The following is a 26763-nucleotide window of genomic DNA, read 5'->3' as shown; positions in this document are numbered from 1 at the left end:
GCCTCTGGCCTGCCATGTGCACAAGCATAACAATTGCTTTTGTTTAACATGCAGATGGAATATTTGATCCATTTTAACCAGGCATTTACATCTTGGTATCCTGTCTTAATTGCTAAAGTTTGTTTTAAGTCTTTAACTTCTATGATCCTCTAGTAAAATGATTGTATGGTTTTAGGAAATTACAAAAACCGGTTGGGGCAGTCATCCTTGCTCTTTAGTGGTCCACAGAACGTTGGACCAACTATGGCATGAAAGCTCTACATTGTGGGGGCAAGACTCTTGGTTGTCACTGGGGTCTTTATCGAAATCTCCCCAAATTAAATGGTCCTAGTTTACTAATGCCCAGTCTGAGGAGAGTCAGGAGGGACAGAAGTACTTTTCAGAAGTAGAGAGCTGTCTTTGACTTGGCAAGTCCCCACAGGGTATAACAAGGCAAGTATTAAATGCAATAGTTTGAGGTGAAATTGACTTGGTTATGTTAATAACTAGATGGTCATCAATAGAGTGCGGAAAGAAGAAAGAGTAATAGAATAGATGAAAAACAGTTAAATTTTTCTTAGCTTTAGTTTGGTAGGGTTTTCTTCTGGGATTATGGCCCATGACTCTGGAGAGGGTGGCGCTTTCTTGACTCGGGTGTGATGAGTCCATCCTTTTTGGTGTACAAACAGCAGTCTTGGTGGTTAGCAGCACAAGGAAGGGTCCTTCACAGGCTGGCTCGAGGTTTTCTTCTTTCCACCTTTCAATGAGAACATGATCTTCAGCCTGGTGCTGGTTGACCGGAAATTCTAGGGGTGGTACATGTGCTAAAAGACTTTTAGTTTTGAGGGAAAGGGAAGTGGAAGATAAATCAAGTATATAATTTCTAAGAAATTGACCTTTTGTTTTAAATGTGGGGACCTTGGCAGTGGACTTTATAGTCCTTAGTGCCTTTTTACTGAGAAATTTCCTTTAGCACCTATTTTTATTGGTTTTTAGACCAAAGGAAGCTAAACACCATTTTATATTTAATAATGCTTCTTTTATTATTTTTATACCAGATAAGCTAAATTTTATCTTTATATTAGTGTGTTATTAATGTTAAACTTAATTTTAATAAAAACTTGTAGACATATTTATCTAATTTTTAATGTTTGACCATAAGGTAAGATTTTATAGACTCTTTTTAACCTTTTAAAATTTTTGCTAAAGAGCAGGTTGGTGCTTTAAGAAAAACCTGTTATGCTTTTATTTTAATATCCAGTATACAGAGAAACTGGATGATACCCCTTTAATTTTAGCTAATATATTTACCCACAGAATTTACACCCAATTAACGTTTCAAAACTTGCTTAAACCTTTAAAACAAAATATACATATTTTTAACCTTTTAATGTAGGTAAAAATCCACATTCTTATGCCTCCTTATAATCCTTTTACCAAAGATATACTTTACTTTCCTTATACACCTTGCACATAAACTGTCTCTTCAATAGTTTTACATTTAGGAGGACTAATTACTTTTAAATTATACAACATTTCTTGCATAAATTCTTTTTTAACACACTTTTTTTATAACTCTTTTTTTTGAAGATGATAACCATTCTCTTCCAAAGTGAACCTTTTTTTTTATGTCTGTGGACTAGACTGTCTAAGGCCACAAGAATAGAAGTTACTATAATACATGTTACGCTGTTAACTTTTAGCAAACTTTACTTTTGTTGAAAACCTTGTAAGTTTGGGATTTTAATTATCCTTTGCTATTAATAAGACCTTGTTTTGTCCAAATTAACTTAGAATTTGTATAGACGGCTTTTTTTTTCTTAACTACTTGTCTATCTCTTTCTCTCTTTTTTTCTGTCTTTGATTTTGTCTCTCTCTGACTTTCCTTTTGCCTCTGTCTCTTCCTCTCTCTCTCTGCCTCTCTCTTTCTTTCTCTCTCTCTCTCTCCTTGACTCCCTCTTTGTCTGTCTCTTCCTCTCTGTCTCTTTCTCTCTGTCTTTGCCTCTTTTCCTCTCTGTATCTTTCCTTTCTCTCTCTCTGCTAGTCTTTCCTTGCCTCTGATAGCCACCTATGCTGCTTTTCTCTCAACCATTCTGTGTTGGGGGAAGGGACTCTAAAACCAGCTGTAACCAAGTGTCTATGTACGGGAGCTGGTCTGTGTGTCCTGGCTTACAGGTTACCTTGTGCCATACCTTTGAAACAAGGGACCTGTCCAGGCTTCCTTCTAATGGTCAACCTACTTCTAATGCTGGCCGGTCTATCTTACACAAAGTTTTAAGTTTTCCTGGTGTCATAGTACTCCATAGTCTCCTTTAAATCTCCTTTTTTTTTTTTTTAATTTTTCAACATAGTTCCTAGTGAGGTGGGCTTACTTTTGCCTCACCCCTGTTTCCTCGAGACAAAACACCACGCTCACACCACATGCACACCACAAAACAAAGAACGGGTTAAAAGGGCACACACACACACCTTTGTAGTTTACACTAAACCAAAATCAAAACCAAAATCAGACTATCCAGAAATCCAAGCCAGGTCAAAACCAAAACCAAAGTATCAAGCAATCCAAGTCAAAAACAAAAACCAAAGTGCCAGTACAGGCACACCGTGGGTGATCAGGCCACGCTTCTACTCAAATGGAGTAGGCAAGTTCCCAAGACCAGTCCTGTCAAGCAATTCAAACCAAGTCAAAACCAAAACTAAAGTGCCAATAAAGGCACGCTATGGGTGATCAGGCCATGCTTCCACTCAAATGGAGTGGGCATGTTCCCAAGACTGGTCCTGTCAAGCAATTCAAACCAAGTCAAAACCAAAACCAAAACCAAAACCAAAGTGCTGATAAAGGCACACCGTGGGTGATCAGGCCACACTTCCACTAAAACGGAGTGGCAAGTTCCAAAGACTAGTCTTACCAAGTTTTAGATGTCAAGACTCTAGGTGCCCGTTCCTTCCAGGTGCTCAGCCACTGCATTGATCCTCCATGGGGGCCTGCCACACACTGCTCTGGCAAGGTGTCCCACCAGGGCAAATGCCTACCTGGGAGTACTCTCAGGATCTGCATTGCTCGGGCTGGTCGTGGTCCCCCTCAGGGATGTTCCACAGGGCAGGCTTAAGCCACCTAAGGAGCTGCCTCAACCATCCACCAATCACCTCACTTCCCAGTCAGGGAACCAAGAAATGTAGCAGGACAAGGCGCAGACAAAACTCCTCAGACACCGAGTTAAAGAAGGAAGAGGTTTATTCAACCGGGAGCATTGGCAGGACTCCTGTCTCAAGAGTCAAGCTCCCTGAGTGAGCAATTCCTGTGTCTTTTAAGGGCTCACAACTCTAAGGGGGTCCACGTGAGAGGGTCATGATTGATTGAGCAAGGAGCAGGTATGTGATAGGGGTTGTATGCACCTGTGGTCAGAGTGAAACAGAACAGACCGGGAAGTTTTACAATGCCTTTCCATACAATGTGTGGAATCTATAGATAACATAACCGGTTAGGTCAGGGGTGGATCTTTAATTACCAGGCTTAGGTCAGGCAGGCCCAGGCCTGGTTTCAGATCTGGTTCCTAGGTGCTGGGCTACCTGCCTTTAGTTTTGCTTTTCTTTCTTTTTCTGAGTATAAAACAATATAAAACAATATGAGAGGGTCTGTCTCTCTTCTCTAAGTGACAGAGTGAGACTCTGTCTCAAAAAAAAAAAAAAAGGAAAATGCAATGGAATCAGCAGGTTCTAAGAAATAAAGAATGAAGAAACAAAGGCCTACAGAAAGCCTGACTGAATGGAAGAGATAGACCATGCCATTCACTGGCATCTTTGTCAATGTGGAAGAATCATGGAAAGGCTCTAGGAACATGAGGAGAGGCAAACAAAAAAGTTTTATGTAGATACACACACACATATATATATTTTATTTTATTTTTTACAGGCATGAGCCACCACGCCCGGCTATATATATATACACATATATATACACGTATATATATGTGTATATATACATATATACGTGTATATATACACGTATATACGTGTATATATACGTATATATACACGTATATACGTGTATATATACGTACACGTATATACGTGTATATATACACGTATATATGTGTATATATACGTATATACGTATATATACACGTATGTGTATATATACGTATATACGTATATATACACGTATGTGTATATATGCGTATATACGTATATATACACGTATGTGTATATATGCGTATATACGTATATATACACATATATGTATATATATGTGTGTATATATATGTATATATATATTTTAATAGAGACGGGGTCGAGCCAGGTGCCGGCCTGGGCAACAAGAACGAAACTGCGCCCACTGGGGAAAAGCTTTGGAGGAGCATTCCCTGGGGTGTGTCCCATCCCCTATCCCAGCCTTTCCAGCCCATCTGTCCACCTGTAGCAGGGGCTAGGCCGGGTCCAACCTCTAAGCCACCTCCAAGTACGGGCCCCAACCCTCTACCCACAGTTCCATCCAGAGGCGTGGTTGTAACCTCACCTTTTCTCTGAACCTGTTTCTGCATCCCACTCTCTGAGCCAACCCAGGCCCTGTCTGCACCCACCCAGGAGGAAACTAGAATTTCTGTGTTCGACCCTGAAAAGTAGAGGTTCCTCTTCAAAGAGACTTTACTCTCCATCTAATTAGAAATAAATAGTAACTCTTCTTAGGAGCGAAATGCATTCAAAGACCTGTGCTAACATTCTTAAGTATCTGTGAGGTGTAATAAAGAAATCAATGTACTTTATGTTCTTAGCTCTCACAATTTAGCCTAAATATTTGCCCTGGCATGCTTATACTGGTCCAAGCAAGCATTAGGTCATAGCCTGTTCCTCTTCCTTATTTGAAGGTGTTTTTAGCTTTCTCAGCATTCCACAAGTTATTTCCTCCTTCCTTTGTTCTCCTCTGCCTTTGCTTCTTTTAAAAAGTTCTGACTTGGTAGCCAACCGGGTCAAATACAGAATGTGATGTTCCATTCCAGCCAATGGAAACCGGACGCTGCAGTAGGGTGGACACGTCAGGTTATAAATGACCCTGTTTCCTTTGTTTAGTGTACTCTAGTGGCAAAACTGCTGGCTAGTGTACCTGTTCTGCCAAAAGTAAAATGGGCTTACTGAGGAAATTAAATTTATGTTCAAGTGCTATTTCTTTATGCACCGGGGAACAAGCATTTCTAACAACCTGGTCCTACGTGGCTGAAACTGGATCCCAGAAGCCCCGTCCTTCCCGAAGCTCGTAGCGGAAGTGACATCAGCCCGCCGCCACTATCTTTTCCCGCGCTGGCTGCCCACGGTCAGTGCTGTTTCACCTTTATCTTGGTGGAGTCGACCCCGGCTGTGGTGAGTTCCGCCCCTGCTTGGGGGTCCTGGAGACAGGCGGGGGATGCCAAAGGAAGGATTGGGTGCGCTCGCCCAGGAGCCTCTCTGATCCTGCTCATTTCACTAGCTTCTCCAGGGGTTGTTGGTCCTCCCAGCGTGGCCAGTTCCCAGCTGCAGGTTCAGTCGGTCCACGTCAGGAGCCGCGTCAGGAAGTGTGTTTATCCCGCGTCCATGGGATGTTTTCTGGAGTGCTTTCATCCGCTGTGCTCCCCTCTTCAAAAGCTTCTAAAGCAACCTTGGTGAATTTTTTTCTTTCCGAAAGGAAAAGGATTTCTGCCATTCTGGTAAGGTTGGCTCTGGCCCCGCATCCTCCCGCGTCAGGAACCTGGCGATTCCGGAGTGTTCTTGGTGAGCACCGGTGTTAAATTGGTTTCAAGAGGGCTCTGACTTCCATATATTTGCTAAAAAATGTCTCATCTGAGAATCTGGCATTGCCTTGGTGTCCTTTGCTTATTTTTGACACATTACATTTGGATGGAAAAAACATAGTTGTTTAGGGTGTGTCTATTTCTGTATGTAAATAAGAACACGTGTAGACTGTAGGCCTTTCGTTTTTTTAAATTTTTATTTTCTTGGACGTTATTTGTTTTCTAGTTGTTACCAGCTACAAGCCTTTCTACTTAAGAAGGGCATGCCAGACACCCTGGCTCACATCTGTAATCCCAACACTTTGGGAGGCCAAGGCAGGTGGATCACCTGAGGTCAGGAGTTTGAGACCAGCCTCGCCAACATGGTGAAACAGGGTTTTGCCATAGAGATGGCGTTTTGCCATAGAGATGGCATTTTGCCATGTTTGCCAAGGCTGGTCTCGAGCTCCTGACCTCAGGTGATCTGCCTGCCTCAGCCTCCCAAAGTGCAGGGATTACAGGTGTGAGCCACCGCGCCTGGCCATCTTTTGAATATTTTAAATTCTGTTCTTCAGTCATCTTAGGTACATAGTGAAGTTAGCAATAACACACGTGGCTGGTGACTACTTAAGTGTTCTGTGCAGGTCTGGACTGCCTCCTGGTCATATTAGGGGGTAACAGCATCCACAGGAGATCAGGCTCTAAGGACAAATATCAGACTAATTATTAGGGTTATTTGAATGTAGGATTTTTTCAGTATTAAATAGAGGTAATGAGCCAGGCGCGGTGGCTCATGCTTATTATCCCAGCACTTTGGGAGGTCAAGGCAGGAGGATTGTTTGAGCCCAGGGGTTTGAGACCAGCCTGGGCAACCTGGTGAAACCTTGTCTCTACTAAAAATACAAAAAATTAGACCTAGTGGTGAAGGGGGCCAGCCCCTCCACACCCGTGGGTATTTCTCATCAGGTGGGACGAGAGACTGAGAAAAGAAATAACACACAGAGACAAAGTATAGAGAAAGAACAGTGGGCCCAGGGGATTGGTGCTCAGCATAAGGAGGACATGCACCGGCGCCAGACTCTGAGTTCCCTCAGTATTTATTGATTATTATTTTTACTATCTTAGCGAGGGAAGTGTAGCAGGGCAACAGGTGGGGAGAAGGTCAGCAGGGAAATATGTGAGCAAAGGAATCTGTATCATGAATAAGTTCAAGGAAAGGTACTGTGCCTGGATGTGCACATAGGCTAGATTTATGTTTCTCTTTACCCAGACATCCCAGTGTAGCAAAGAGTAACAGAGCAGTATTGCTGCCAGCATATCTCACCTCCAGCTGCAGGGTGGTTTTCTCCTATCAGAATAGAATGAATGGGAATGGTCAGCTTTACACCGAGACATTCCATTCCCAGGGATTGGCAGGAGACAGAAGCCTTCCTCTTAACTGCAAAGAGGCCTCCCTCTTTCACTACTCCTCAGCACAGACCCCTTTATTGGGGGACCTGCCCCGATAATCACGTAGGTTCTTTTCTATTTTCCTAAGCGTCGGCTGGCTTGAGAAATAAAGGGACAGAGTACAAAAGAGAGAAATTTTAAAGCTGGGTGTCCGGGGGAGACATCACATGTTGGTAGGATCCGTGATGCCCCACAAGCCACAAAAACCAGCAAGTTTTTATTAGGGATTTTCAAAAGGGGAGGGAGTGTGCGAATAGGTGTGGGTGACAGACATCAAGTACTTAACAGGGTAATAGAATATCACAAGGCAAGTGGAGGCAGGGCGAGATCACAGGACCGAGGTGAAATTAAAATTGCTAATGAAGTTTCGGGCACCACTGTCATTGATAACATCTTACCAGGAGACAGGTTTTGAGATCAACCGGTCTGACCAAAATTTATTAGGTGGGAATTTCCTCTTCCTAATAAGCCTGGGAGCGCTATGGGAGACTGGAGTTTATTTCACCTCTGCAATCTCGACCATAAGAGACAGGTACGCCCCCGGGGGGGCTTGGGCCAGTTCAGAGACCTACCCCTAGGTGTGCATTCTCTTTCTCAGGGATGTTCCATGCTGAGAAAAGGAATTCAGTGATATTTCTCCCATTTGCTTTTGAAAGAAGAGAAATAGGGCTCTGTTCTGCCTGGCTCACCAGCGGTCAGAGTTTAAGGTTATCTCTCTTATTCCCTGAACAATTGCTCTTATCCTGTTCTTTTTTCAGCGTGCCCACATTTCATATTGCTCAAACACATATGCTGTAGAATTTTTGTAGTTAACGCGATTATTACAGGGTCCTGGAATGATATACATCCTCCTCAACTGACAAGATTAAGAGACTAAAGTAAAGACAGGCATAGGAAATCACAAGGGTATTGATTGGGGAAGTGATAAGTGTCCATGAAATCTTTACAATTTATGTTTAGAGATTGCAGTAAAGACAGGCATAAGAAATTACAAAAGTATTAATTTGGGGAACTAATAAATGTCCATAAAATCTTCACAATCCACGTTCTTCTGTCATGGCTTCAGCCGGTCCCTCCGTTTGGGGTCCTTGACTTCCCGCAACACCCTTTACGGGTGTTGGGCTGGGAGATGGTAAGGTCTTTCCTTTCCCATGAGGCCATATCTCAGGCTGTTTCAGTGGGGGGAAACCTTGGACAATACTCAGGCTTTCATGGGCAGAGGTCCTTGCGGCTTTCCGCAGTGCATTTTGTCCCTGGTTAATCAAGAATGGAGAATGGTGATGACTTTTACCAAGCATACTGCCTGCAAACATATTGTTAACAAGGCACATCCTGCACAGCCCTAAATCAATTAAACTTTGATTCATTACAGCACATGTTTCTGTGAGCACAGGGTCAGGGCTAAAGTTACAGGTTAACAGCATCTCAAAGCAGAAACAATATTTCTTAGTACAGATCAAAATGGAGTTTCTTATGTCTTCCTTTTCTACATAGACACAGTAAAAATCTGGTCTCTATTTCTTTTCCCCACACAGTGGTGTGCACCTGTATTCCTAGCCACTTTGGGGGCTGAAGTGGGAGAATCACTTGAGGCCAGGAGTTTGAGACCAACCTGGCTGATATGGCGAAACACCATCTCTACTAAAAATACAAAAATTAGCCAGGCATGGTGCATACCTGTAATCCCAGCTACTCAGGAGGCTGAGGCCTGACAATCACTTGAACCTGGGAGGCAGAGGTTACAGAGTCGAGATCGTGCCACTGCACTCCAGCCTGGGTGGGAGAGTGAGACTCTGTCTCATAATAATAATAGTAATAATAATGATAATAATAATGATAATAAGGTGTGGTGATGCACACCTGTGGGCCCACCTATTCAGGAGACTGAGGTGGGAGGATCACTTGAGCCTGGGAGGTCTAGGCTACAGAGGGCTGTGTTAGTGCCATTGCACTTCAACCTGGGCAACAGAGTGAGACCCTGTCTGGATGGATGGATAGATAGATACATAAATACATAGATACATAGATACATAGATACATAGATACATAGATAGATAGACAGATAGAGGTAATGATAGCTATTGGGAAGGATGGTTATGATAATTAAGTGAGCATGTATATAGCTAGTAGAGCTACTTCTGACATACTAGGCCTCAGTAAATGTCAGTTGCTGTTATTAATACTATCATTACTGAGTGACGATACTGAGTGTACAGTTTTTGGTGGCCTTCACATTTGTCACCTGCAGCGAGAAAGCTCATGCATAATGTTCGATGACTGATGTTTGATGCTTGATACAAACAGGACTTCAAATAACCCTGTACAAAGAGGAATGGAGATTGCCTCTATTCACCTAGATTCATAAGTTGCCCTGAGGCAATCTTGGCATCAAGGAAGAGAGCATTGAGGCACAACTGACCATCAGCTTCAGAGAATGGCAGTCACTGATTTGTCCCATGGTAAGTCCTTGTTGATGCTCTTTTTCAGAGATTCTGATTTAGGTCGTCCTCCACAACATAAGAGTCCAGTGCGCTGGGCCTGAGCAGGCATGCCACTGTTTTTTTCTTTTGTTTTGTTCTGTTGTTTTTTCAAGATGGAGTTTCACTCTTGTTGCCCAGGCTAGAGTGCAATGGTGCAATCTCGGCTCACCGCAACCTCTGCCTCCTGGGTTCAAGCGATTCTCCTGCCTCAGCCTCCCGAGTCGCTGGGATTACAGGCTAATTTTGTATTTTTAGTAGAGACGGGTTTCTCAGTGTTTGTCAGGCTGAACTTGAACTCCCGACCACAAGTGATTTGCTTGCCTTGGCCTGCCAAAGTGTTGGGATTACAGGCATGAGCCACCACTGGTTCTTTTAGGAGGAATTGAAGTAAGATGTAGAATACTATTTTGTTTTGTTTTGTTTTGTTTTATTTATTTATTGTAGACAGAATCTTGCTCTCTCACCCAGGCTGGAGTGCAGTGGTGCAATCTCAGTTCACTGCAACCTCCACCTTTTGGGTTAAAGTGATTCTCTTGCCTCAGTCTCCCATGCAGATGGGACCACAAGCACATATCACCAGGCTTGGCTAATATTGTTTGTTTGTTAAATGGAGCCTCCCTCTGTTACCCAGGCTGTAGTGCAGTGGCACAATCTTGACTCACTGCAACCTCTGCTTCCCTGGTTCAAGCAATTCTTTACCTCAGTCTCCTGTATTTTTTTATTTATTTTTTATTTTTTTAGTAGAGACGAGGTTTTGCCATGTTGGTCAGGCTGGTCTTCAACACCTGACCTCAAGTGATTTGCCCACCTTGGCCTCCCAAAATATTGGGATTACAGGCATGAGCCTCTGTGCCCAGTCAGAATGCTGTTTTAGAATTCAGCCCTGGTTTGTGTGTCTTAGGAAATGCTACATAAGCTTCATGAGTGTTACTACTATGGGTAGATAGATAGTCACATTTTTCAGGGTGTAAGTTTCCTTGAAAAATGAAGCTATATCCCTTTACCCAACAGGCAGTTTGGCCCATGTCTGCTTATCTGAGTCTAGGTGACACAGGACTACTATGGCATTTCATGAAAGTGTTGTGTGTGTGTAGTTTTCTCGAGTGTGCAGGAGCATATGGGAATTTCAAGCTAGGATGGAATGACTTCTGGGCATGAGACTGTGGGCAGCTTTGGCTTCTCATGCCTTCTTACTTTTCCACTAGGGTTTTTTCCCAGGGAACCAATCTGCCCTTTTGAAGAAAAGACAAAGATAGGAACGATGGTGGAGGACTACCTGGCAAATTCTTATCAGGTAAAAAGAAAATGTGCCATTGTACAAAATGACATGCTTACATCCAATAGGTAGACATATTTCCTTCTAGACAGACTCATCTCCAGAGTTTTCTTAGAGCAAATGAAGCCTTACTCAAAGACTGAGTCCCCAGATGAATTTCCCCAGGGAATGAAGTTTCCTATACATAAAGTGTTAACTTGAAAATCAGTCCAGTAGCTCAGTAATTACTACTTAAGCTTGACCTTCATGGTGCCAACTGCATCTTTCTTACATTGCTGGGTGCAGTGACAGATGATAAAGCTGATGAAAGTGTCCTTTTATCAAATTATTCACTTATCAGCATTTATCAGGTATCTGCAGTGTGCTGAGGAGTGTGCGGCATAGACACCAATGGGACAGGAAGAGCTCCTAAACTGGTTGTGCTGAGATAAAGTGTAAGCAGTGTGCAGTGGCTCATGCCTGTAATTCCAGCTACTCAGGAGGCTGGGGTGGGAGGGGAACTTCAGCCCAGGAGATCGAAGGTGCAGTAAGCAGCGATTGTGCCTGTGTGACACAGTGGGACCCTGTCTTTATATAGAAATAAATAAACAGATTAGATAGATAGATAGATAGATAGATAGATAGATAGATAGATAGATAGATAGATAGATGATAGGTAAAAATTCATGCTTAGGAAGTACTGTTCTCATCAAAATAAAAATTTAAAATTTAAAAATAAAAGTATTTAAAAATTAAAAATAGATCAAACAAAAAAAGAATTAAAAAAATTTTTAAAGTGCTGTTCAAGGCATATGCCTCTAGTAGGTTCACCTTGATTGCTTAGACACAAGAGCTCCTGAGACATTAAACACTGGAGTAGATCTTGGGAGAGCTCAGAACCACATATAAGTGAGTATAAGTTTCCCCTTCCTCATTCTCCAGTGAACATTCATGGCAGTGTTCATTGGCTCAAACCGGCATGTGTGTGATGACTTAGGATTCAGTGACGTTTGATGATGTGGCTGTGGAGTTCACCCCAGAGGAGTGGGCTTTACTGGACACAACTGAGAAATGCCTCTACAGAGATGTGATGTTGGAGAACTATGTGAACCTGGCCTCTGTGGGTAAGAGTAACATCATTTTGCTTGGCATGGTGCCCTGCACCTGTAGTCCCAGATACTTGGGAGGCTGAGGTGGGAGAAGTGCTTGAGTGTGGGAGTTTGATATTAGCATGGACAGTATTGTGAGACCGCATCTCTAAAAAAAAAATCATAAAAATAAAGACTAGGCCGGGCTTGGTGGCTCACGCCTTTAATCCCAGCACTTTGGGATGCCAAGGTGGGCAGATCATGAGGTCAGGAAATCAAGACCAGACTGGCTAACACAGTGAAACCCCGTCTCTAATAAAAATGCAGAAAATTTGCTGGGTATATTGGCACATCCCTGTAGTCCCAGGCACTCGGGAGGCTGAGGCAGTAGAATCACTTGAACCCGGGAGGCAGAGGTTGCAGTGAGCCAAGACTGCATCACTGCACTCCAGCCTGGGTGACAGAGTGAGACTCCATCTCAAAAAAATAAAAAAAATATTTTTAAAGATCCACTTTACCTCAGAAGATTTAAGCTATTTTTCTCAGAATTTCAGATATCTCTGACTTTTATTTTCCATCTAGTCAAACATTCCTATGACCTAACAAAACTACCTGTTCTTTTTTTTGTTAACTTTATCATTTTGATACATGCTCTTTATCCCAATCTTTCCTACTTTCCTTTCCTGATAATCTTCTCTTCCTCTTCCCTATTGTTTCATTTTTCACAGAAGCAGTTTGTAATAAACTATCTAAACACATCAATTGTGTAATAAACCCCACGTCCTTATAGCCAAATTTTTGACATATCAAAATCCTCAAAGTTCTCTGGCCTATCTTTTATTACTGTGTTTAATTAGAAAACAAGTACAAATGACTCATCGTTTTAAACATTTCTTCTATAAATCCTTACATTTCTTTTTCTGCTTAACTTCAGAATGGGAAATACAACCTAGAACCAAATGGTCATCACTTCAGCTTGGTTTTTTGAGGAATCCAATATTCAATGGGATACAAATGGCAGGATGAGTGATATTTCTTAGTTTCCTCTCAGAAAAGATTGAGAATTCCATTCTAGGAAATCAGCACGGTCAGAACTATGGCTTACTTCTGTAATCCCAGCTACTAGGGAGGCTGAGGTAGGAGGATCATTTAAGTCCAGTAGTTTAAGACCAGCCTAGACAATATAGCAAGATCCCATCTCTGATTTTAAAAAGAGGCTGGATGTGGTGGCTCATGCCTGTAATCCCAACACTATGGGAGGTTGAGGTAGGTGGTCACTTGAGGTCAGGGGTTTAAAACTAGCCTGGCCAACATGGTGAAACTCCGTCTGTACTAAAAATACAAAATTAACCAAGTGTAGTGGTGGGCACCTGTCATACCAGTTACTTGGGAGGCTGTGGCAGGAAAATCACTTGAACCCAGAGGTGGAGGTTACTGAGCGAGCCAAGATTGCACCACTTCATTCCAGCCTGGGCGATGGAGTGAGACCTCATCTCACAAAAAAAAGAAAGAAAGAAAGAAGGAAAATAAACTGAGTCTGTAATCCCAGCACTTTGGGATGCCAAGGTGGGTGGATCACTTGAGGTTAGCACTTTGAGACTAGCCTCTATCTCTACTAAAAATACAAAATTAGCCAGGCATGGTGGTGGGCACCTGTAATCCCAGTTACTTGGGAGGCTGAGGCAGAATTGCTTAAACCTGGGAGGTGGAGTGTGCAATGAAAAAGAAACAGCACAAATGAGAGATACTTAAGAGAATTAGAGAAGTAGCCTGCACCATTGAGGGAGCAAAGTCTCTGGAGAGATAGTCTGAATGTGATGAATTTTGTGATGTTCCATACCTATATAACTTGTCACTGCAAAATACCGACAAGTACATATTCCCACATATGTAACTAGACATTGAGGATTGGAACAGTTTCATGAAAATCTACACTATTTTGCTGGGTACAATGGCTGATGCCTGTAATCCCAGCAGCTTGGGAAGCTGAGGCAGGAGAACCACTTGAGTCTAGGAGTTCAAGACCAGCCTGGGCAACAGGGAGACCCTGTCTCTACAAAAAATAAAAATTTAGCTGGGTGTGTTGCCATGCAACTGTAGTCGAAGCTCCTTGGGGCACTGAGGCAGGATGATGACTTGAGCCTGGGAGATTAAGGCCGCAGTGAGCTGTGATTCTGCCATGGTACCAGCCTGGGTGACAGAGTGAGACCCTGTCTCAAACCACCCCCAACAATTAAAAACAGTTGTTTTTTTTTTGAGTAATTAGAGCCAGTGGCATAAAATTCTAGCAAAAGATCCCATCATTCAATCTGGAAGAAATCAAGAGGGTAGGAAATGAAAAAAAAATTAAACATTAAAAAGTAAAATGATAATTGTCACCAAAATAATGTTTCTGTGTTCAGATGGGTGAAATCTCTTAATATGTCTGAAAACATTTTAAATCCTTTATCCCTTCATCAGCAGACAAGAAGCTACAGTGGATGGAAACTCTGAGAATTGTGGAGAGGTCTTCAGTGAATGGTTTTGCCTTAAAACACACATGAGAGCTCAGAATGGAGGGAACATCTTTGAGGGTAATTGTTATGGAAAAGACATCCTCAGTGTGCACAAGGAAGCCTCTATTGGACAGGAACTTTCCAAATTTAATCCATGTGGAAAAGTCTTCACCTTAACTCCAGATCTTGCTGCACATCTTGGAATTCTCAATGCAAGACAACCATACAAATGTAAGGAATGTAGAAAAGGCTTTAAGTATTTTGCAAGCCTTGATAATCACATGGGAATCCACATTGGAGAGAAATTCTGTGAATTTCAGGAATGTAGGAGAGCCATCACTCATTCCTCACACCTAAAGCAGTGTGTAACAGTTCATACTGGAAAGAAATCTAAAAAGACTAAGAAACATGGGAAATCCTTCACTAATTTTTCTCAACTTTCTGCACATGTGAAAATTCATAAAGGAGAGAAGTCCTTTGAATGTAAAGAATGTGGAAGATCCTTTAGAAATTCCTCATCCTTTAATGTTCACATTCAAATTCACACTGGAATAAAACCACACAAATATACGGAATGTGGGAAAGCCTTCACTAGGTCAACTCACCTTACTCAACATGTAAGAACTCACACTGGAATAAAACCCTATGAATGTAAGGAATGTGGCCAAGCCTTCACTCAGTACACGGGCCTTGCTATACACATACGAAATCACACTGGAGAGAAACACTATCAGTGTAAGGAATGTGGGAAAGCCTTCAATGGATCCTCAACCCTTACTCAACATAAAATAATTCACACAGGAGAGAAGCCTTATGGATGTGTTGAATGTGGGAAGACCTTCATTACTTCTTCCTATCGTAGTAAACATTTGAAAACTCACCATGAAGAAAGGCCCTTTGTATGCAAGATATGTGGGAAAGCATTTCTATATTCCTCACCCCTTAATGTTCACCTGCAAACTCATACCAGAGAGAAAGCCCTCATATGTAAAGAATGTGGGAAAGCTTTTGCTGTTTCCTCACACCTAAGTAGACATGAAAGAATTCACACTGGGGAGGAACCCTATGAATATAAGGGTATGAATGTTACCATTTAGCTCATTGGTTGCCATCTTTAATTAGTGGCAGTGACACTAAAGATATTCAGATTTGTCCTAAATGCCTTTTGGAGGTTGTAATGGCTCATGAATTGGCCTTGGGTGCCATCACAAGGGTCTGAAATTAAACCTACAGGTTCTGAATACAACATCATGGTTGCCTGAGTCTGGGCATCTGTGAAGAAGGGTAATGGATGGTGAGGTCAGTACTGCAGGCTACCTTACCTTGGTGATTAGGTTTCTAAGATCATAGCATTAAGAATTTCTGTATGAGATAAGTCATCTAGATTGGTCCCAGCCCCTGTTAGTAGCTGCCAGTGTGGCACATTCATGTCAAAATTTCCCAGAAGCCAAGATGATGTAGGCCCCAGAGGTGGGTTGTTAAAAGATGCTCCTCTAAGGGTCTCTTCTGTTCCCACGGATCCTGCAGAGCATGGCAGGTATGAAACCATCCTTAACTGCCAGTGCACTTTCACAGCTGATTATTTCTGTGTCCCCTTCTTGTAAAATCTATGATATGTGACAGCCTTACCTGTTCTGTCTTCTCTGTCCATTTTAGGTGGCACAACCTAAGTGGAAGTGTCTCTTCTAGTATAATCCAGTCTTTGTGCTCACGTCTGTTAAGATGGCTGATATAGTCCATGAATCCCACTCATGATCTCTTTGTCAAATGATTGTTCAGCCACACTTTCAGGATTCTCTTCAGTACAAGTTTTCTAATTTTTGCATTATGGATAGGCTGAGAATTTTCCAAATCTCCAGGTTCTGGTTCCTTTTTCTTTAACAATTTCTTCTGCAATTCAGGTCTCCTCTTTTGCATTTTACTATAAGCAGTCAGGAAGAATGAAGCTTCCTGTGTCCTTTAACACTTTAATTACAGATCTTAGTGATACATACCCAGTTTTATCTCTCTCAAGCTCTACCTTCCACAAAATGCTAGAATACAGTTTTGCTAAGTTCTTCACCACTTCATATAAAGGGTTGTCTTTTCTTCATTTCCCAATAGCATGTTCCTCATTCCCCAATGACACCTCACCAGAATCACCCTTACTATTATTTCCAGCTTGCAAATCAGAATTTTTCCAGCCTCTACTCATTTGTCAGTTTCAAAGCTGCTTCACATTTTTAGTTTTTTTATTTGTTTGTTTGTTTTTAATTCCAGTGCCTCACTTCTCAGTGCCAAAATCTGCCTTAATCAGCTCAGGCAACCATAACAGAATACCACAGAACAAATGGCTTACAAATTCATTTAATTTTAAATAAATGAGGTTAAAAACACAAAATTTTATTTTTTGAGATGGAGTTTGTGTTTTTAGTTAACCATGTATCTTGGAAATCACTTAATGTGAGTTCATAGAGATCTTCATTCATTTCTAGAGCTGCAGGATACTCCACTGGTTGATGTACCATATATTCAGATACTCTAATACTTGAGAGCATTTAGGCATTCAAATTGAAATTACAAACAGTGCTGCAATTAATACTGTTGAACTTATTTGAATTGTTAAAGGTTTACCTTTAAGGCAAATTCTTAGAAGTTTAGACTGAATCCTGGACTTAGTATAAAAAAAAATTCTTAAAAGTAGCATTGTGGCTGGGCACGGTGGCTCATGCCTGTAATCCCAATACTTTGGGAGGCCGAGGTGGGTAGATCACTTGAGGTCAGGGGTTCGAGAACAGCATGACCAACATGGTGAAACCCCGTCTCTACTAAAAATACAAAAAATTAGCAGGGTGTGGTGACACACCTGTAATCCCAGCTACTCAGGAGGCTGAGGCAGGAGAATCACTTGAACCCAGGAAGTGGAGGTTGGGATGAGCCAAGATCATGCCATTGCACTCCAGCCTGGGCAACAACAGTGAAACTCCATCTCAAAAAAAAAAAAAAAGTAGGATTGCAAGGCCAGGCACAGTTGCCCATGCCTGTAACCCCAGCACTTTGAGCTCCTTAGTTCGAGACCAGCCTGAGTAAAATGGTGAGCCCATCTCTAAAAAATATACAAAAATTAGCTGGGTGTGGTGGCTCATGCCTGTAGTCCCCAGCTACTCTGGAGGTTGAGGTGGGAGCATCGCGTGAACCTGGGAGGTGGAGGCTGCAGGTAGCCCAGATTGCACCACTGCACATTCCAGCCTGGGGGACACAGCAAAACTCTCTCAAAAAAAAAAAAAAAAAAAAAGGGAAAAGAAAAAGTCCGTGCACGGTGGCTCACACTTGTAATCACAACACTTTGGGAGGGCAAGGGGGTGGATTGCCTGAGCTCAGAAGTTTGAGACCAGGCTGGGCAACATGGCCAAACCCTGTCTTTACTAAAAATTAAAAAAAATTAGCCAAGTGTGGTGGTGTATTCCTGTAGTCCCAGTTACTAGGGAGATAGGCACAAGAATCACTTGAACCCAGGAAATGGAGGTTGCAGTGAGTTGAGATCGTGCCACTGCACTCCAGCCTGGGCAACAGAGGGATACTCTGCCTCAAAATTAAAAAAAAAAAAAAAAGAAAACGGTTTCCAGATTGCACAGGTAGTGTTTTTGGGTATTGCCAATTCCTTCTCTGTAGTATCCAGCCTCCAAATTGTCCCCCAATAATCTCTGCTTCTCAATACTCATACCTTTGTGTAGTCCTCTCACATTGTAGCAGGCTTCGTCTCTGTGACTAGCAGAATGTGGCAAAAATCATGTTAAGTCACTGCTGAAGTTTGGGTTACAAAAGACCACACACATATGGAATCTCACTGGAGTCCACACAGTGAAAGCAATCTTGAAAAAGAAGTTTGTTGGGTAGGGCAAGGTGGCTCAAGCCTGTAATCCCAGCACTCTGGGAAGCTAAGGCAGGCAGATCATTTGACGTCAGAAGTTCGAGACCAGCCTGGCCAATATGGTGAAACCCTGTCTCTACTAAAAACACAAAAATTAGCCAGTGGTGAGCTGAGATCATGCTATTGCCCTCCAGTCTGGGCAACAGAGCGAGACTTAGTCTCAAAAAAAAAAAAAAAAAAAAAAAAGGATTGTTGGAAAATTCAGACTTTGTGATGTCAAAAGTTACTAGCCTGTAATACCAACAATTCAGGAGGCTGAGTCAGGAAAACTGCTTGAGCCCGGGAGTTTGAGACCAGCTTGGGGAACTTAAGGAGACTTCATCTCTACAAAAAATAAAAATAAAAAATAGCTTGGCATGGTGGTGCATGCCTGTAGTCCCAGCTACTCAGGAGCTGAGATAGGAGGGATCTCTTGAGCCCAGGAAGTCGACCCTGCAGTGAGCTGTGATCACACCATTGCACTCCAGCCTGGACAACAGAGCAAGAACCTGTCTCAAGAAAAAAAGCAGAAAAAATGGTACTACAAAGCTATAGTAATCAAAACAATGTGGTATAGGCATAACTAGACATGGAGACCATTGTTATAGCATAAAGAGACCAGAAATAAACCTTCACAGATATAATCAAATGGCTTTTGACCATGGTGCCAAGAACCTTCAATGGAGAAAAGGCAGTCTTTTTTCTTTTTTTCTTGCTGGGCTGCATTTCCAGGAGGTTAGGCATTCTTAGTCGCAGGAAGAGATAGGAGGTCGGCATAAGATACAGGTCATAAAGAGCTTGCTGATAAAACAAGATGCGGTAAAGAACCCAGCCAAATCCCACCAAATCCAAGATGGTGACAAAAGTGACCTCTGGTCATCCTCACTGCTCATTATAGGTTAATTATAATGCAGTAGCATGCTAAAAAGTCACTTCCGCCAGCTCCATGACTTTTTACAAATGTCATGGCCATGTTTGGAAGTTTACCTATATAGTCTAAAAAGGGAGGGATGTAGGCCGGGCGCGGTGACTCACGCCTGTAATCCCAGCACTGTGGGAGGCCAAGGCAGATGGATCACAAGGTCAGGAGATCGAGACCATCCAGGCTAACACGGTGAAACCCCGTCTCCACTAAAAATACAAAAAATTAGCTGGGTGTGGTGGCCGGCACCTGTAGTTCCAGCTACTCACGAGGCTGAGGCAGGAGAATGGCGTGAATCCAGGAGGCGGAGCTTGCAGTGAGCAGAGATCGCGCCACTGCACTCCAGCCTGGGCGACAGAGCGAGACTCCGTCTCAAAAAAAAAAAAAAAAAGAGGGATGCTAGGTTCCAGAAAATCTCTGCCCCTTTCCTGAAAAACTTATTGACAACCCACCCCTTATTTAGCATATAATCAATAAATAACCATAAGTATACTCAATAGAGCAGTGCATACCACTGCTCTGCCTATGGAGTAGCCATTCTTTTGTTTCTTTACTTCTCTAATAAACTTGCTTTCACTTTATGAACTCCCCAAATTCTTTCTTGTGTAAGATCCAAGAACCCTCTCTTGGGGTCTGGATCCAGACGCCTTTCCATTAACAATACCATCATGATCCAGGAATCCCACTACTGTGTATATTTCCATAGGAAATGACGTGAATATCTTGAAGAGATATCTGCATTCCCACGTTCATTGCAGCCTTCTTCATAATAGACAAGTATGGAAACAACCTAAATGTTCCTGGACATTTAGAAATGAAGAAAATGTGATTATATATGTGAATATTATTTAGCCTTAAAAAGAGAAGGAAATCTTGTATAATCTCACATATATGTGGGCTGTAACATAGCCACATAGTCCTTGACTCACAGAAGCAAAGAGGAGAATGCTGGCTGGGCGCGGTGGCTCACGCCTGTAATCCCAGCACTTTGGGAGGCTGAGGTAGGTGGATCACGAGGTCAGGAGTTCGAGACCAGCCTGGCCAACATGGTAAAGCTCCATCTCTTCTAAAAATACAAAAATTAGCCGGGCGTGGTCGTGGGCGCCTGTAATCCCAGGTACTCAGGAGGCTGAGGCACAAGAATCCTTTGAAGCCAGGAGGCGGAGGCTGCAGTGAGCCAAGATCCTGCCACTGCACTCCAGCCTGGGCACAGAGTGATACTCCATCTGAAGAAAAAAAAAAGTGGAGAATTTTGGTTGCCAGGGACTGGGAGAATGGGGAGAGACTGGAGAGACATTAGTCAAAGGGTATAAACTTTCAATTACAAGATGAAGAAATTCAGGAATTTAATGTACAGCATGGAGATTTTAGTTAACAATACTGTATTGTCCAGCTGGGTGTGGTGGCTCACGCCTGTAATCCCAGCACTTTGGGAAGCAGAGGTGGGGGGATCAAGAGGTCAAGAGATCAAGACCTTCCTGGCCAACATGGTGAAACCCCGTCTCTACTAAAAATACAAAAAATTAGCCCAGCATGGTGGTGTGCACCTGTAATCACAGCTACTTGGGAGGCTGAGGAAGGAGAATCGCTTGAATCTGGGAGGCAGAAGTTGCAGTAAACCAAGATCACACCACTGCACTCCAGCCTGGTGAGAGAGAAAGACTCCGACTCAAAAAAAATAAAAGAACAAAAAACAAAAAACTGTATTGTATACTTGGAGTTTACTAAGACAGCAGATTTTAAGTGTTCTCGACACAGTAAAAAAGGTGACTGTGAAGTGATGGATACATAAATTAGTATGGTAGTGGTAATCATTTCACAATGTTTATACTAAACATCACATTGCACACTTTAAGTATATACAGTTTTTCTTTGTCAATGAGGTATCAATAAAGCTTGTGGTGGGAGGTGGGGGAGAAGTGTTAGCAGAAAAACTGGATATAGACATGCATAAGAAGGGAGTTAGACCCTAACCTTATACCATATATAAAATGAACTTAAAATGGATCAAGGCCAGGCACGGTGGTTCACACCTGTAATCCCAGCACTTTGAGAGACTGAGGCAGGGGAATCACAAGGTCAGGAGTTTGAGACCAGCCTGGCCAATACGGTGAGACCCCGCCTCTACTAAAAATACAAAAATTAGCCGGGTGTGGTGGTGGGCACCTGTAATCTCAGCTACTTGGGAGGCTGAGGCAGAAGAATTGCTTGAACCGGGGAGGCAGAGGTTGCAGTGAGCTGGGATCACGCCATTGCACTCCAGCCTGGGCAACAAGAGCGAAACTCCGTCTCAAAAAAAAAAAAAAAAAAAGATGAAAAATCATTAACTCTTTCCTTGCCTAACACAGCCATGGCTCGTGGTCCCAAGAAGCATCTGAAGGGGATAGCAGCTCCAAAGTATTGAATGTTGGATAAATTGACTGGTGTGTTTCTCCTCATCCATCCACCAGTCCCCACAAGTTGAGAGAGTGTTTACCCCTCATCATTTTCCTAAGGAAGAGACTTAAGTATGCCCTGACAGGAGTTGAAGTAAAGATTTTCCCACAGCGGTTAAGATCGATGGCAAGGTCCGAACTGATATAACCTACCCTGCTGGATTAATGGATGTCATCAACACTGACAAGATGGGAGAGAATTCCCAACTGACCTGTGACACCAAGGGTCACTTTGCTGTACAACGTATTACACCTGAGGAGGCCAAGTACATGTTATGCAAACTGAGAAAAATCTTTGTGGGCACAAAAGGAATCCCTCATCTGGTGACTCTTGATACTCACGCCATCTGCTACCCTGATCCCCTTATCAAGGTGAATGATACCATTCAGATTGATTTAGAGACTGGCAAGATTACTGATTTCATCAAGATTGACACTGGAACCTGTGTATGGTGACTGGAAGTGCTAACCTGGGAAGAATTGGTGTGATCAACAGAGAGCGGCACCCTCGATCTTTCAAAGTGGTTTACGTGAAGGATGCCAAAGGCAACAGATTTGCCACTAGATTTTCCAACATTTTTGTTATTGGCAAGGGCAACAGACCATGGATTTCTCTTCCCCGAGGAAAGGGTATCCGCCTCACTATTGCAGAAGAGACAGACAAAAGACTGGTGGCCAAACAGAGTGGTGGATGAAATGGTCCCTGAGTGACATTTTAGATCTTTGTACATAATTAAAAATAATGTGGCATGGCCGGGCACAGTGGCTCACGCCTCTAATCCCAGCACTTTGGAAGGCCGAGGTGGGTGGATCACGAGGTCAGGTGTTCGAGATCAGCTTGACCAACATGGTGAAGCCCTGTCTTTACTAAAAAGAAATACAAAAAGTAGCCGGGCATGGTGGCATGCACCTGTAATCCCAGCTACTCAGGAAGCAATGGCAGGAGAATCACTTGAACCTGGGAGGTAGAGGTTGCAGTGAGCTGAGATCGCACCACTGCACTCCAGCCTGGGAGACAGCAAGCCTCCATCTTAATAATAATAATAATGTGGCATGATTTTTAAAAAATGGATCAAAAACCTAAGTGTAGTGTAAGAGCTAGAGCTGAAAACCTATTAGAAGAAAACATAGGTGAGAAAGCTTCATGATATTGGAATTGGAAATGACTTCTTAGTTATGTCATCAACCACACAGGCAACACAAGAAAAATTATGAGTTGAACCTAATCAATAATACAAATTTTTTGCATCAAAGCATAATAACAAGAGAATGAAAAGACAATCTACAAATGGGAGAAAATATTTTCAAGTCCTGTATCCGACTGGGGACAAATATCTGGAGTTTATTTTTAAAATTTCTAGAACCCGAGAGTAACAACAACAAAACCCAATTCAAATACAGAAAAAGGACTTGAATAATATCACCAAAGAAGATACACAGATGGCCAATAAACACAGGAAAAGATGCTCATGAAAAGATGCTTAACATCACTAAACATCATGAAAATGAAAATCAAAACCATGCTGGATGTGATGGCTCACACCTGTAATCCCAGCACTTTGGGAGGCTCAGGGTGAGGGATTTCTTGAGACTAAGAGTTCAAGACCAGCCTGGGCATATTGTGAGATTTCATTTTTACAAAAAAGATTTTTTAATTCAGCCAGGCATGGTGGTGGCATGCACTTGTAATCCCTGCTACTCGAGAGGCTAAGGTGGGATGATTACCTGAGCTCAGTAGGTTGAGGACTGCAGTAATCCATGATCATGTCACTGCATTCCAGCCTAGACAACAGAGTGAGACCCTATCTCAAACAAACAAACAAGATTAAACAGAATTACCATATGATCCAGACATTCCACTTTGGCATATATATCCAAAAGTGTTGAGAGCAGGTGCTCAAAGAAATATTTGTACACCAATGTTTATCTCACTAGTATTCACAATAGCCAATCCCTGCCAAACTGCAATTTTAACACACTTGATTGTTTGAAACATAGCATGAACAAGCCTATTTTTAGCCATCTCGAGTGTGCCTTCTTTGTATTCTCTGAAATTATGTGCAATATCTGATAGCCATAGATAAGATAACTCCAGAGGCTATGAAAATCCCATCCCCCTGCTGTCCTGCAGAACCTTTTTTTTTTTTTTTCTTTTGAGATGGAGTCTCACTCTGTTGTCCAGACTGGAGTGCAGTGGCAAGATCTCGGCTCACTGCAACTTCCACCTCCCGGCTTCGAGTGTTTCTCCTGCCTCAGCCTCCTGAGTAGCTGGGATTACAGGTGCACGCCACCACGCCCGGCTAATTTTTGTATTTTTAGTAGAGATGGGGTTTCACCATGTTGGTCAGGCTGGTCTTGAACACCTGTCCTCGTGATCCGCCCCACTGGCCTCCCAAAGTGCTGGGATTATAGGCATGAGCCTTCTTGCCCGGCCCTTCAGAGCTTTTTAACTGGAAGATATGCTGTCAGTTTGGTGAGTATCATCATTTAGTTATTTATAAGCCCCCTCTTTGATTCCCTTTCTCCTCTGGGAGTCTCTCTTCCTTTCCACGCTTTCTGAGAAGTGACCCACAGGTAGAAGCCTGTGGATACTCTCTTGCTGTTTCCTACCTCCGCAACTGCTAACCTGTGAAAGCACATCCCAAATGAAGCTTGTATGCTATTGCCGCCTTGTAGTTACATCTTTTTCCTTACTCAGCCAAGAAATCACTTGAACACCTTACATGCGTGTATGGTTTTATTTTTCACACTTAGATTACTAGTCCATTTGGAGTATATTGTATATGATATGAAGTATAGATTTAATTTCATCTTTTCTCTGATAGCTAACCAACTGTCTTAGACTTTCCATTACAAATGGCATTTTTTCCCTATCGATCTGAAACACCACTTTTTTTTTTTTTTTGACATGGAGTTTTGCTTTTATTGCCCAAGCTAGAGTGCATTGGCACGATCTCGGCTCACTGCAACCTCTGCTTCCTGGGTTGAAGCGATTCTCCTGCCTCAGCCTCCCGAGTAGCTGGGATTACAGGCACCTGCCACCACACCTGGCTATTTTTTTTTTTTAATTGATCATTCTTGGGTGTTTCTCGCAGAGGGGGATTTGGCAGGGTCATAGGACAATAGTAGAGGGAAGGTCAGCAGATAAACAAGTGAACAAAGGTCTCTGGTTTTCCTAGGCAGAGGACCCTGCGGCCTTCCGCAGTGTTTGTGTCCCTGGGTACTTGAGATTAGGGAGTGGTGATGACTCTTAACGAGCATGCTGCCTTCAAGCATCTGTTTAACAAAGCATATCTTGCACCGCCCTTAATCCATTTAACCCTGAGTGGACATAGCACATGTTTCAGAGAGCACAGGGTTGGGGGTAAGGTCACAGATCAACAGGATCCCAAGGCAGAAGAATTTTTCTTAGTACAGAACAAAATGAAAAGTCTCACATGTCTACTTCTTTCTACACAGGCACGGCAACCATCCGATTTCTCAATCTTTTCCCCACCTTTCCCCCCTTTCTATTCCACAAAACCGCCATTGTCATCATGGCCCGTTCTCAATGAGCTGTTGGGTACACCTCCCAGACGGGGTGGTGGCCGGGCAGAGGGGCTCCTCACTTCCCAGAAGGGGCGGCCGGGCAGAGGCTCCCCTCACCTCCCGGATGGGGCGGCTGGCCGGGTGGGGGGCTGACCCCCCCACCTCCCTCCCGGACGGGGCGGCTGGCCGGGCGGGGGGCGCTGACACCCCCACCTCCCTCCCGGACGGGGTGGCTGCCGGGTGGAGATGCTCCTCACTTCCCAGACGGGGTGGCTGCCGGGCGGAGGGTTTCCTCACTTCTCAGACGGGGCGGCTGCCGGGCGGAGGGGCTCCTCACTTCTCAGACGGGGCGGTTGCCAGGCAGAGGGTCTCCTCACTTCTCAGATGGGGCGGCCGGGCAGAAACGCTCCTCACCTCCCAGACGGGGTCGCGGCTGGGCAGAGGCGCTCCTCACATTCCAGATGGGGCGGCGGGGCAGAGGCGCTCCCCACATCTCAGACGATGGGCGGCCGGGCAGAGATGCTCCTCACTTCCTAGATGGGATGGCGGCCAGGAAGAGGCGCTCCTCACTTCCTAGATGGGATGGCGGCCGGGCAGAGATGCTCCTCACTTTCCAGACTGGGCAGCCAGGCAGAGGGGCTCCTCACATCCCAGATGATGGGCGGCCAGGCAAAGACGCTCCTCACTTCCCAGACGGGGTGGCGGCCGGGCAGAGGCTGCACTCTCGGCACTTTGGGAGGCCAAGGCAGGCTGCTGGGAGGTGGAGGTTGTAGCGAGCTGAGATCACGCCACTGCACTCCAGCCTGGGCACCATTGAGCACTGAGTGAACGAGGCTCCGTCTGCAATCCCGGCACCTCGGGAGGCCGAGGCTGGCGGATCACTCACGGTTAGGAGCTGGAGACCAGCCTGGCCAACACAGCGAAACCCCGTCTCCACCAAAAAAATATGAAAACCAGTCAGGCGTGGCGGCGCGCGCCTGCAATCACAGGCACTCGGCAGGCTGAGGCAGGAGAATCAGGCAGGGAGGTTGCAGTGAGCCGAGATAGCAGCAGTACAGTCCAGCTTCGGCTCGGCATCAGAGGGAGACCATGGAAAGAGCGGGAGAGGGAGACCGTGGGGAGAGGGAGAGGGAGAGGGAGGACACCCAGCTATTTTTGTATTTTTAGTAGAGATGGGGGTTTCTCCATGTTGGTTAGGCTGGTCTTGAACTCCCGACCTCAGGTGATTCACCCACCTCGGCCTCTCAAAGTACTGGGATTACAGGCGTGAGCCACCAGCCGAGCCTATTTTTTGTATTTTTAGTAGAGACGGAGTTTCACCATGTTGGCCAGGCTGGTTTCCAACTCCTGAACTCAAGTGATCCTCCTGCCTTGACCTACCAAAGTGCTAGGATTACAGGCATGAGCCACCACGCCCAGCAAAATACCACATTTATGAACCAAATTTCTACATGTTCTTGGGTCTATTTATAGATATTTTATTAGTCTGTTTCTGCTTCATG

General features: G+C 43.7%; 2 pseudogenes across 3 annotated transcripts, besides 1 other annotated feature; both read left to right on the top strand.

The window, feature by feature from the left end:
* The first annotated feature begins 4945 nt into the window (after positions 1–4945).
* ZNF812P (zinc finger protein 812, pseudogene) lies at positions 4946–16862 on the top strand (annotated as a pseudogene). Of its 3 annotated transcripts, NR_146444.1 has the most exons (4): positions 4946–5334; positions 9474–9628; positions 10855–10943; positions 14453–16862. The product of NR_146444.1 is annotated as a zinc finger protein 812, pseudogene, transcript variant 1 (transcript). The 3 variants fall into 3 exon arrangements; NR_146445.1 differs by lacking the exon at positions 10855–10943; NR_146446.1 differs by lacking the exons at positions 9474–9628; positions 10855–10943.
* RPS4XP22 (ribosomal protein S4X pseudogene 22) lies at positions 21626–22483 on the top strand (annotated as a pseudogene).
* Positions 24713–25295: an enhancer, noted in NCBI's record as "NANOG-H3K27ac hESC enhancer chr19:9791103-9791685 (GRCh37/hg19 assembly coordinates)". NCBI's record gives its function as "activates a minimal SCP1, AML or CMV promoter by ChIP-STARR-seq in primed H9 embryonic stem cells {active_cell/tissue: H9 hESC(primed)}" and the evidence as "EXISTENCE:reporter gene assay evidence [ECO:0000049][PMID:30033119]".

Source organism: Homo sapiens, chromosome 19 (assembly GCF_000001405.40).
Source record: "Homo sapiens chromosome 19, GRCh38.p14 Primary Assembly".
Classification (NCBI taxonomy): Eukaryota; Metazoa; Chordata; class Mammalia; order Primates; family Hominidae; genus Homo; species Homo sapiens.
Note: the sequence above shows the minus strand (reverse complement) of the source record. Positions and strands in the feature narration are given on the sequence as shown.